Consider the following 13353-nt stretch of genomic DNA (forward strand, 5'->3'; position numbering starts at 1 on the left):
ACACATCTTAGATATCTCTTTCCTATGAGTATAACTTGCTTTTGTTTTCTTTTTGCTGTGTTTACTCACATGTTTTTATAGTCAAAAGAAACTTGTCAGGTGAAAATATAATGGTGAATTTTAAAATGAAACTCATGGCTGTTTTACTTTCAACTGCTGTTCCAATAATGTCTCTAACCACCTTACATGCTCAGTAAATGTCTGCTGTGACTGCTTTTGGTTTTACTTGATGATGACAGCTCTAGAGATGGAAAGAAATGTCACCAAATGTATTTTAAGGATAAAAATCTTACCAAATTGTGTTTGTGAATATGAAGTTTGGCAGTAACTACTGATTTTTCAAAGATGCTTTGTAGCATTTTTAAAGTCAAAGAGCCATTGATATGAATTAGAAACTTCAAACTTAAGGAATTTTTAGGAGTCATGGAAAAGATCAGTATTTGGAATATATGCCAGAAGTCATGTGTTTTATAAGTAGAATATTATAGGTTAACAGTCTAATTTTTGTTTTTTTTAATTGTGTTCATCATTAACATAGGTTTTTGATTTTGTTGTTACTTTTTTAATGATTCTAGGGCTGTGCTTCCTGGAAGTGGTATTATCCATTTCATTATGCACCATTTGCTTCAGACTTTGAAGGCATTGCAGACATGCCATCTGATTTTGAGAAGGGTACGAAACCGGTAAGCTTAATTACTTAAAGTCATAAAGTTTATAGAATTCTGGATTAGATAATAATCTTGGGTCTTTAATGTTTTTTCTTTTTTCAGTTTAAACCACTAGAACAACTTATGGGGGTATTTCCAGCTGCAAGTGGTAATTTTCTACCTCCATCATGGCGGAAGCTCATGAGTGATCCTGTGAGTCTCAGTATTTTGAGTGTGTGGGTGACAGGATTTTTGTCACATTTTATTCATATCAGTTACAATTGCTTTTGCAGCTGATAGTTAAAACAGTGAAGTACAGAAACAGTATGTTTTTTACTCCAAACACACATATATTTCCTGCTTTCTTTGGCCCTGCACAGTAAATCAGTTTGTTTTGGGGAGAAATTTTTTTGTTTAGTTTTTGATTTTTTTGTTTGTTTGTTTGTAAGACGGAGTCTTGCACTGTTGCCCAGGCTGGATTGCAGTGGCACCATCGGCTCACTACAAGCTCTGCCTCCCGGGTTCACGCCATTCTCCTGCCTCAGCCTCCTGAGTAGCTGGGACTATAGGTGCTCGCCACCACGCCCAGCTAATTTTTTGTATTTTTAGTAGAGATGGGGTTTCACCTTGTTAGCCAGGATGGTCTTGATCTCGTGACCTCGTGATCTGCCCACCTCGGCCTCCCAAAGTGCTGGGATTACAGGCGTGAGCCACCGTGCCTGGCCGGGGAAAAATTTTTGTTCTCTGGCTACCTGTAAGTCTTTAATTTTATTTGTTCCAGCCATATTTGGTAGCCACCAGAGATGAGGAAACTGCCTTACCCAAAATCACCTGTGAACTTGTTTTGTATGCTAGCTAGAAAGAGTGAGACCCAGCCGGGAAGTAGGAAATGTTAGAGTACGTAAACCCTTTACTTTCTGCCTGTCTGAAGCCCATAGTTGTCAATTCTAAAATTCTTCTACAGTAATGCTTTTTCATCTTTTAAAATAACATTGTTCATTTTGTTTTACTATACTTGGGATTAATGACCTAATGTCTCTTAACATTTTTTAAAAGGAATGCACTTTATTTTCTCATCAGACCTTATAACTTGAATGAAAGTCATATCAAATTCTTTATAACAGAGATGTGTGACTTCTGTTTTGATTCTTTACTTTTCTCCCTAATATAGGATTCTAGTATAATTGACTTCTATCCTGAAGATTTTGCTATTGATTTGAATGGGAAGAAATATGCATGGCAAGGTAAAATTTAGACGTTCTTTTCTGGTAAAACTGTGAACAAACATAATTTTTGAAATGAAATAATTCTGTAAAAGATAAATATTTTAGCCTGGGCAACATGGTGAAATCTCATTTCTACAAAAAATACAAAAATTAGCCTGGCGTGGTGGCTTGCACCTGTAGTCCCATCTACTTAGGAGGCTGAGGTGGGAGGATTGCTTGAGTCTGGGAGGTCTTGGTTACAGGGAGCCACGATTGCACCACTGCATTCCAGCCTGGAAGACAGAGTGAGGCCCTGTCTCATAAATAAATAAATGAATAAATAAATATTTTAAAAGGTAAATATTTTGAGAATTATATGTGAAATGTTGATATTTCTCCATCCAACCTGGGATTAGCAATGATTAATAGTAAATTTAATTATAACATTCTTAGAAGCAGTAAATTGGGTTGAAATAGGTTGATAATTACATCTTTTGTTTCCTTTGTGATTAATTAATGGGGCTTGTTACATTCAGTCAGTAGCTCATTAACACCTTTTGAGGTTGCTGAGAAATACAGAAACACAGTAGTATCCATGTGGAGATTTATGTATACTCCATGGAAACTTTTGAAAAATATGCTAGAAACTTTTATGTAGTTTAAATACTTGATGTTGATCATTACTTTTCCTACTAGTTTTTCATTCCATTAACAGATTTTGTAGGAATGGCTATATAAAATTTGTACTAACTTTAAGGTGTGTTTACCACTCAACCAATATGTAATGATGATTGAATGTAAAATACAATAAAGAAATATCTTGGCCGGGCGCAGTGGCTCGCGCCTGTAATCCCAGCAATTTGGGAGGCCAAGGCGGGCGGATCACGAGGTCAGGAGATCGAGACCATCCTGGCTAACACAGTGAAACACCGTCTCTACTAGAAATACAAAAAATTAGCCTGGTGTGGTGGCGGGCGCCTGTAGTCCCAGCTACTCGGGAGGCAGAGGCAGGAGAATGGCGTGAACCCGGGAGGCAGAGCTTGCAGTGAGTCGAGATAGCACCACTGCACTCCAGCCTGGGCGACAGAGCAAGACTCCGTCTCAAAAAAAAAAAAAAAAAAAAAAAAAAAAGAAATATCTCTTACACAGTAAACCAGCTGTTGTTTCACACTAAAGTCATCCTGCAGCAAATTATTTAACCTTTTCTTCCACCATACATTTTCCTAGGGTAATAAACACATTTGGTAAAATCATATTTTCATTTTTTACTTATTGTTCTCTGTGGTTGGAATGGCCAATAAAATGACTTACGGAGAATCTTGAGACAAAGGGGGAATAAATAATACAATTTACAAATTGAAAAATCAGGAGGCTTTGGAGTTGACTTGATTTATTTAGTAGCAGAAATATCATATCGCTTCAGTGGAATGATCATGGAAGTGCACCCATTGGGGTTATATAAGGGTTGTGTGCTTCATGATCATGTATTATTACATGTTAAATGGATTGGAGATTCGGGTTTTTCAAGGTGCTTTGTGGAGGATGTCTTGATTAAAGCAGAGAGAGAAGATGCATGGGACAGTGAGGGATGTAAAAATACTAAGTAAATTAAGAAGCAAATATATTTTTGTGTTTGTTAAATAAGTAAATTATTAAATCGTTGTCTGGGTTTATTAAGTAGATAATTAAATATATAAACATGCAGGTGACTTGTCAACTCTGTCATTGTGGTATACATTATTTCTTTCACTGACAGGATATTTTCAATATAACTTAACTCTAGGGGAAAAGTGAGATAATGTACAAGAGTTCAGATTTCTTCACATCCTCTCCAACATTTGTTATTTTGTTTTTATTAGTAATAACCATGCTAATGGGTATGAATGGTATTTCATTGTGGTGGCGATTTGCATTTTCCTAATGATTAGTGATACTGAACATCGTTTCATGTCCTTTTTGGCCATTTCTAAATCTTTGGAGAAATGTCTGTTCAAATCCTTTGCTCAATTTTGAATTGGGTTGATTTTGTTGTTGCATTATAGAAGTTTTTTATATATTCTAGACATTAATCTTTTATTGGATATATGATTTGCATGTATTTTCTCTTATTCTGTGGATTATCTTTTCACCCTGTGATGATGTCCTTTGATGCACACAAGTTTTTAATTTTGATGAAATCAAGTTTATCTTTTTTGTTGTTTCCTGTGCTTTTGGTGTCATATCCAAGAAATCTTTACCAAATCCGACATCATGAATCTTTTTTCCTATGTCTGCTTCTAAAAGTTACACAGTTTTAGTTCTTACATTTAAATCTGATCCATTTTGAATTAATTTTTGTATATGGTGTAAAGTAATGGTCCAACTTCATTCTTTTGCATGTGCATATCAAATTTTCCCGGCACCACTTGTTGAAAAGACCATTCTTCCCCCCATTGAATAAGTTGGCACTCTTTGTTGAAAATATTCTGGGCTGTCTATTCTAGTCCATTGAGCTATGTGTTTTTCCTTATGCCAATGCTATACTGTTGTAATTACTGTCGCTTTGTAGTGAGTTTTGAAGTCAGAAATTGTGTCTTCCAACTTTATTCATATTCAAGGTCCGTTGAGATTTCACATGAATTTTAGGATGGGTTTAAATTTTGACCTCAAATATTTTTGTATTTTATACAATGTTTTATATAAATATTTTTACTTAGCTTAGTAGCGAGAACACACTTTTCTTGAGGTAAAATTTAGTACTGTTGGGAAATACAGTTTCTTCCTCATACATGTTTTTAAAACTTACTTAGTGAAAGTAATGATAATACTTAGTTAAGCTCTTACCTGGGTTGAGCACATCTTAATAGAAGATAAACTATATCTGGATACGTCAACATTTTTAAATGTGTGCTTATCAACATTATATGTAATTTTTTTTTTTTTAAAGACAGAGTCTCACTCTGTTGCCCAGGCTGGAGTGCAGTGACGCGATCTCGGCTCACTGTAACCTCCGTCTCACAGGTCCAAGCAATTTCTCCTGCCTCAGTCTCCTGAGTAGCTGGGATTACCGCCGTGTGCCACCACACCTGCCTAATTTTTTTGTATTTTTTGTAGAGGTGGGATTTCACCATGTTGGCCAGGCTGGTCTCGAACTCCTGACCTCAGGTGATCCGCCCACCTCAGCCTCCCAAAGTGCTGGGATTATAGGCGTGAGCCACCGCACCCGGCCCAACACACGTAATTTAAAAGCAGTATCGTTTTGGTCAATTTGCTTAGTACTATATAGATATATAGCATAGTAGTTTTGATGCTGTATATTTTATATATGAATAGAGAATTTAAGTAATTCCATCAAGTCACACAGTGGCAGAGTTAAGACCTGAACTCAGAAAGTCTGATACTAGAGCTCACATTTGAAGTGACTGTGTAATACCTAAGTTATTACCAGTACTTGGGCTCCCTCTGGGTATTGAAAGAATTCAGTGAGATAATGCATGTAACATAAGAAGTGTTCAGAAAACAGTAGCTGCTATTCTCATGTTTACTATCAGCTCACTGTAGCTCTGTCATATCTGGATGTAAGGCATTCCTTTCTATGCTGGCCAGTAGGGGTAATTTATTGCTTAGTGATTTTCTTGCTGTTGAGTAGCACTTCACATTGTTAACTGATTGGATTTAGCTTCTGGAATTGATATTGTAGAAAAGTCTTATTTTATATATGTATAATATTTAATATATAATATTTAATATTTAATATATAATATAATATATGTTTATATATATTTTATATATATATAAATATAAATAAATGTAGTGGGTAGGATATATATATATATATATATATATATATATATATATATATATCTCTTAAATGTAGTGGGTAGAAAACAAGCTAGATGATGCTGTAGTTTCCCCTTGATATAGTTCTCTTAAGTGTATGACTAAATAATGTTTTAGCAATTTCCTGGGTTTTTTTCATGTGTTTATCAGTAATTGAAATAGCCTGACTCACATGTTAGGTATTAAGAGCCTTGAAATCACTCTTTTAGGCCATTCAAAATTCATACTAGAACTTAGTTTCTTTTTAACTTAAAAAGAAAAAAAAAAGATCAGGTGCAGTGGCTCATGCTTGTAATCTCAGGACTTTGGGAGGCCAAGTTGGAAGGATTGCTTGAAACAAGGAATTTGAGACCAGCCTGCGTAACACAAGGAGACCTCATCTCTACAAAAAATTTTAAAAATTAGCTGGGTGTGGTGGTGGCATGTGCCTGTAGTCCCAGCTACTCAGGAGGCTGAAGTGGGAGGATTGCTTGAGCCTGCAAGTTTGAGGCTGCAGTGAGCAATGATCGTGCCACTGCACTCCAGCTTGGGTGACAGAGTGAGACCCTATCTTAAAAAAAAAAAAAAAACAACTGTTACTAGGTAGTGAAATTGAACATGATTCCTAACCTTGGAATAATTAATTAAGCTAAATAAGACTTGGAAACCTTTTCATTTCTCATAATTTTAAAGGGAATAATCACAAATAACAGTGGTTTTGAGTAGCAGTAGTTTCAGAATTATTTAACACTATTTAGCATTTGTCTTTGCTGTGTATTGTAAAATTTTTGTTTAGCCAAAATACTACTTATACTGTGTAGAGCAGAAAATATATACGCTTCAATAACTTTGTATATTTTTCTTATAGCATTGTATTAGTGATGTGCTTCTTTGAAAATTATGCTTTTGGGTCCAAATAAGTGCCCTTAATTTCAGCATACTCCAGAGGATCATTTTAAGTCTCAAATGAATAGCCTCTGTTCTGTCCCCTGCCCCCTAAGTTATTTAAGCAAGTCTTTAAAATTTTTTTGTATATAAATTAATTAGTAGGCTTTAAAATGTAAAAAGAATACTATGGAATTTTAGAGCAGGAGGAGATCTATGCATTTTGGTTGAACAGAATTGAGTATTTTAGTTGAAATGCTCTCATTTTACAAAAGATGAAACCAAGTACTAGAAAGAAGAAAGGACACACTCAAGCCCTAGGGAGAGTAACTGGCTTGCTTGGGGGCATCTTAGTAACTAAAGTGAGAATATATTACTGGTATCCAGGTAGCCATTTGTTCATTTATTTAAAATTTTTATCACCATGGAGTTAAGATTCAGAAAACATGATTTTCCATATAAGCCATTTTAAGAATGGAAAATACGTAGAATTTTTTCTTCTGCAACTACAGGGGAAATATTAGCATCTGAGTTTTGGCTTAATGAGACAATAAGAGTTCAGTTCCAAAATGTTTTTGTATCAGCAAGGAAACTCTACTAGAAACGTTCATTTCGAGCAATGATAAGTTGGAATTTGGGTGATCCTGGTAGCAGGGGTGGTTCATTTGCACTTGTTTTTTCAGGTGTTGCTCTCTTGCCATTCGTGGATGAGCGAAGGCTACGAGCTGCCCTAGAAGAGGTATACCCAGACCTCACTCCAGAAGAGAGTAAGAATTATACTTCTTAGTTAACATTGATCTGTGTAATATACACTTTATATTTCTGTATAAAATTAGACCTTCCTTCTCCTGTTTGTCAGATTTCCCATAAAGGGGATATAAATCATTGATTTTATTTTCTTATTACAGACGTTGACTTTGCTTCTTAATTCATTATCTGTAAGTTGAGTAGTAGTTAAATAAAATGTTTTAACTTACAAGTATTTCTTAAATTTTTTAAAAAGCAATACTTCAACAATATCCTTTGACATTTTGATTCTTATATGACATGCACACACGAAAGTATCTTTTGCCTGTTGGGAAGATATTATTCATTTTCTCCATCTACCTTCTTCCCTACTCCTCCTTTCTCCCCAGTAATAACTACTTTGTTTAAAAGGTTAGGGTGAAACAAAAGCATATGCTCTTAGAGTGCTAACTTGAAATATGACATAAAAGGAGGCAATTTGTAATCAATACTGACAGTAAAAAGTATTCATATTCGGAAATTGCAAAGCTGGGCTCTATTGAAAAATTTAATACCATTATAATAAGCCTCTAGAAACAATTTCTGTATCAAAAAGATTGTCTTTTAGAACAATCTTTTCATCAAATGACACTGTATATGTTTCCTTAGGGAATGATTATGTATTTCTTATACTAAGAAAATGAGTTTATTATAAAAAGAAAATATTGCCCTTTATCTTGCAGTATATTCATACGTATTTCAGTGGGTTTTTTTTCCTGATAACTATTGATCTTTTTGAAACTTTTTTGTTAAAATATTTTTTTCCCCATAGAGGCACATCACGCATTTAGATCTATCACTATAATTAAAAAATTTTTTTTAAATTGATATGTAATAGTTACACATGTATTTTGGGTCCATGTGATATTTTGATACCTATATACAATATGTGATCAAAATAGGGTAATTGGGATATCCATCACCTCACATTTATCTTTTCTTTGTGTTGGGAACATTACAGTTTCTTTCTTCTATTTTGAAATATGTAATAAATTACTAACTTCTCCACAGTACTATCAAATACTAGAACTTACTCTTGTCTAACCTATCACTTTAAAATTATTTTTCATAAATTTTATAATTAAGTTCTTAACACTTAGATGCTTTCCCTTGTTTTATGCTCATAAAAATTGGTCTTGCAGGTACAATTTTTTTATGTGTAGGTCTTATTCTTTTCTTTCTCCCTAGCCAGAAGAAACAGCCTTGGAGGTGATGTCTTATTTGTGGGGAAACATCACCCACTCCATGACTTCATTTTAGAGCTGTACCAGACAGGTTCCACAGAGGTATGTTACGCAATTTGGTTAATTAGAAATGCACTTTTTAAAATTTTGGTAAAATATGCATAACATAAAATTTACCATTATAACCATTTTTAAGTGGTTATTCTGTGGCATTAAGTATATTTCCAGTGTTGTATAACCATTAGCACTTTTTCAGAACTTTTTCATCTTCCCAAATAGAATTTCTGTACCTTTTAAATAATGTTAAATAATGTATCAGAATTTCATACCTTTTTATGGCTGAATAATACTCTATGTGTACTTTTTTATCCACTTATCTATTGGTAAATATTTGGGTTTGTTTCTGCCTTTTGGCTCTTATGAATGATGCTGCTATGAACACTCAAGAATCTGCTTGAGTCCCAGTTTTCCATTCTTTGCATATGAGATCAGGAATGCATTTTTCCACAGCCAGTGGAGGTACCCCCTGAACTATGTCATGGGATTCAAGGAAAGTTTTCTTTGGATGAAGAAGCCATTCTTCCAGATCAGTAAGTTTCATTTTGTATATAATTGAGGTGACTGGAAGGAAGTTTAGTTAGGATTTTTTTCCTTGTTGTCTAAATGTTTATTTTCTAATAATAGTGAGAAAATTGTATTTAAAATAAGACAAAACCTTGCTGACTGAAAAATGCTTGGGTTCAAAGCCTAGCTCTTCAAAGTAGCTGTGTCACCTTGTGCAGGGAGCTCTGGGAGTCCCTTTCAGGATATTCTGAAGGTTAAAACTCTTTTCATAATGATACTAAGATGTTACGGTGTTACTTGCTTTTCTTACACTTTCTCTCTTGAGTGCACAGTGGAGTTTTCCAGAGGCCTCTCAAGAGATAGAAGCAGAGGAGAGTAGCTATTAAATAGATACTAACCAGATATTAATGAGATTTTTGAAAGTATACAACAATGACATCGTTTTGCTTTGTAAAAAAATAGCTTTTTATAAGAATGTTATTTATGTTAACATGTAGGGTATCTTTTAGTATTTTAAAAATTTCTTAGTCATAATTTTTAATGGGTAAATGTTCATAAATATAACCACTATAAACAAAAGCCCTTTGAGATTTAAGAATGTAAAAGGGTTCTGAGACCAGAGTTTGTGAACCACATGTCAAGGGTACATTTCCAGGAATGGAACTGCTGGCCATAGAGTATGTGTATCTTCATTTTTTTTCTAGGTAATATTTCTAGGAGGTTTGTCAAGGTGGTTACACTGTGTTGTAATCCCAGTGGCAGTTTGTGAGAGATCTTGTTGCTCTACGTTTTGGCAAACCCTTGTCACAGCTTTAATTTCTGTCAGTCTGGTGGATGCTCATTGACATCTTGTGGTTTATAGTTGCAGTTCTTTGAGTACTAATGAGATTGAATGCCTTATGGTTAATAGTTAACCATTTCATGTATGTGGTACTTACTCTTTTTTTTTAAGATATAAATGGTTTTTATTGTTTTTGTTAGTGCATTCTAATGATTTATCTTTTCTAAAGACTAACAAACATAGCAACATCTTATTTCCACTTACCTAAAAGGTTACAGTTTACAGAGAGATGTTTCTTCTCTTGTTTCCTTCTAGAATAGTATGTTCTCCTGTTCCTATGTTAAGGGATCTGACACAGAACACTGTAGTCAGGTAAGTTTTCCAAAATTCATGGCATTCACCCAGAACACAGCTCTGAACTTGCAAATCCATTTTAAAAGACCTTTGATTCACAAGGAAATGGCAGCTGTTAATCCACCAATGCTTCGAGATTGGAGAGTCCCTGTGTTGCAGACCTTACAGCAGAGCCTCTTAACTCTAAATTATGTATATTGTTAAGGTTACTGATTTAACATGCTTGCTTATCTGTTTTCTGGTTTCCCATGACAACCTGTAATTCTTCCTGGATTAGGCAAGTGGGAGGTAAAGAGTAGGAGTATCTAGCAGTTTGTTATATAGGAACAAACAGAACTCTACACCCCAGAGGTTCACACAGCTTCCCTGTATTACAACAGACTATTTTACTTATGTTTATAATCATGGCCCTGCAGAGTTTGAACACAAAAATATTCTGTAGTATGTTTTAGTTAAGATGACATAGAACAGAATATATTTGTGAAAATTTTTATTAGCAATTATAAACTTAAAGGGCTAATTTCTTCTCTCTGGAAAACTAATTTATATCTCAGTTCTTTGGTGCTGACAGCATTTTCTATTGAGTAAAAATAATATAAAATGTAATATGACCATTTGGACTAAAATCCAACAAATTGACTACTCATTTGTATTTTATAATGACAAATCTTGATGACAGAATTTAGTTGTCATTTTCTCCAATCTTTAGGTAAGACTAAAGCAAACACATCTCAGGTATTCAAGAATTTGATAAAAGCCTGCTAATCCTGAATCCTCCTTTTCCATCCATTTTTGTTTCTCTCCCCCTCAGGAAATATTTTAGATTTTTTTTTAGATTTCCCTTTGTGAAATATAAACATGTTTATTTCCTATCTTAAATGGATTCAGGTAGTAAATGATTGCCATTCTAGAAAGGCTTTTATTTAAAGAAAACTACTGTGAATTCGAAAAATCTTTCTGGATGAGTTGCTTACGTTTATCTTTACGTATAATTTTTTGTTTATCTTTACACCTAATTTGTCCTGGTTCTTTGTCTTTGTGCTCTTTTGTTAAGGGTGGAGTACAGAATTGAAAGCCACGCTCCTAAACCCATCACAAACAATCTGGCTCTGACAGATTCAGTGTGAACACTGTGTATTAACCCTTGGAGTCTCTGGCTTTCATTAAAGCATTGGCGCTTCAGGCCAATTAATTCCACGGTTCTCTCTTTGGATTGTCACATGTTTGCTTGTGCTTCTCAATTTTTCTGCATATATTCAAGGGCCTTCCTGCCTAACCCTCTAGAAATAGTTAATTCTACTTAACTTTCTAATTAGGATAGAGAGGCTTGCCCAGAGGAGAGTTACAGAGTTAATGGAAACATTTTGGATTTTTTGTTTGGATGATGATGATGTTGGTTGGTTGTTTCTGAGCCTAAAGGGGCCTTTGGTATTTAGTACATACTATGTTCACAAGATTATTAAATTTATAAAACAGGCCGGGCGCGGTGGCTCACACCTGTAATCCCAGCACTTTGGGAGGCCAGGGTGGTGGGTGGATCATCTGAGATCAGGAGTTCAAGACTAGCCTGGCCAACATGGTGAAACCCTATCTCTACTAAAACTGCAAAAAATTAGCTGGGCATGGTGGTGCATGCCTATAGTCCCAGCTACTCAGGAGGCTGAGGTGAGAGAACCGCTTGAACCCAGGAGGCCGAGGCCTCAGTGAGCCAAGATCACACCACTTGGGCAACAGAGCAAGACTCCATCTCAAAAAAAAAAAAAATGTATAAAACAAATCCCAGATCTAAATGCATATTCAGGTGTATATTGAAAATAACTTTATAATAAAATCAACTAAATTAGGTTAATTTGCTGAAGATTTGTGGGAGACCAAAGTTAACTTTTCCCTTAGGTAAAAGTAATTTTCAGTGTTTTCTCTGAAGGGCGGCAACATTGAGGCAGAGATCCAGTTTTTACAGCAGGTTTTTGCATGTTTGTTTTAGGGCTTGTTGTACATTCCAGTGTTAAATTTGCTTTATAACTTTAACTTACAATTTTCAGATTTAAAAAATCTCAGAATATACTCACCAGTCATTTGCCAGTTATTTCTCTTTTGACTCCTGGCATTTTTTTCCTCTTCCTTATTTAAATACATCTAGTATCCCATTTGATATTTGAGAAATCGTTTCCTCAAGTTGAGTTTAGGTAAGTTCTTCCCATTGTATTCATTCTTATCTGTAGTGCTCAGAAAGTATGTTATACAAGCTGTTGAAGTCCCTTAAATTCGTAGACAGACCCTTAGAGAATATAGTCAACTCTAACCTAGGAGATCATATTTTTTTCCCATTTCTAATTCCACAAATTATTCAACATATTAGCTTCTGCATGTGAGTTTTCCTCCCAGTCTGTCATCTGGAGGGTAAGTGCATATGTGTGCTTTTACTTTTTCAAGGCCTGATGCACCTTGGCAGGGCCCTGGCCCTGTGCTTGAACCCCCAGGTCCTCAGGATGCTTCCTTCCTGCCCAGGCTGATCCCTTCAATACCCTTTGACCTCCGCCTCTTCCTCCTGTTGTTTGGAGTGCTCTTCCTTTCTTTTCTCCACCTGCCCCATAGCCTGCCGTTTATTGCTTTGCTTTTCTTCTAAAGCATAATTTATACAGTTTTTATATATGTTGTTTCCAGCAGTAGTGTTGTTAGGTTGTTTTTTTTTTTTTTCTCATAGCACCTAGCAGAGTTCTAAACCCATATTTAAAAAGCTCAGTTGTTCATAGTGTTGCAACCAGTGTTTGCCAAAGTCTTTGAAGAGCGTAAACTTTTTTCTTCAGAGGAGTGTTTCTTAGACTTTTTGTATTCACTTTTGGATGAATCAGACAAGATATAGAATGTTTTATTCCTTCAAGGAGATTTTTTGTTTTAATGTGAATGTGTATGGAGATGGATTTTTTAAGTAACTATTTCTGCAGCATTTGCAAGGCTTATGCTTGGCAAGCAGATAACTCAAGATCCAAAGCCTGAAGGAAGTGGAATACATGCAGTCAGCAGTGGATTTGATGGTGGAAAACAGTTGGGAGGGTTTCACTTTCGATGCTTAATTGGTTAACCTCTTCTGATAGAATGTCACAATCCTATAAACTCTTTAAGTGTTTTAAAATGTCAAGTATATGAAT

The 13353-nt window shown here is 35.0% G+C and overlaps 1 protein-coding gene across 3 annotated transcripts in view; it reads left to right on the plus strand.

Annotated features, from left to right (window-relative positions):
• The window catches only part of XRN2 (5'-3' exoribonuclease 2), an 86495-nt gene that overhangs the window by 44240 nt on the left and 28902 nt on the right, over positions 1 to 13353 (plus strand). For all 3 annotated transcript variants that reach the window (NM_012255.5, NM_001317960.1, XM_017027723.3), the window contains 7 exons: positions 576 to 683; positions 771 to 860; positions 1819 to 1891; positions 7219 to 7302; positions 8510 to 8607; positions 9016 to 9095; positions 10166 to 10222. In NM_012255.5, the coding sequence (NP_036387.2) occupies positions 576 to 683; positions 771 to 860; positions 1819 to 1891; positions 7219 to 7302; positions 8510 to 8607; positions 9016 to 9095; positions 10166 to 10222 (590 nt within the window). The remainder of the gene's footprint in view (positions 1 to 575; positions 684 to 770; positions 861 to 1818; positions 1892 to 7218; positions 7303 to 8509; positions 8608 to 9015; positions 9096 to 10165; positions 10223 to 13353) is intronic.

Source organism: Homo sapiens, chromosome 20 (assembly GCF_000001405.40).
Source record: "Homo sapiens chromosome 20, GRCh38.p14 Primary Assembly".
Lineage (NCBI taxonomy): Eukaryota > Metazoa > Chordata > Mammalia > Primates > Hominidae > Homo > Homo sapiens.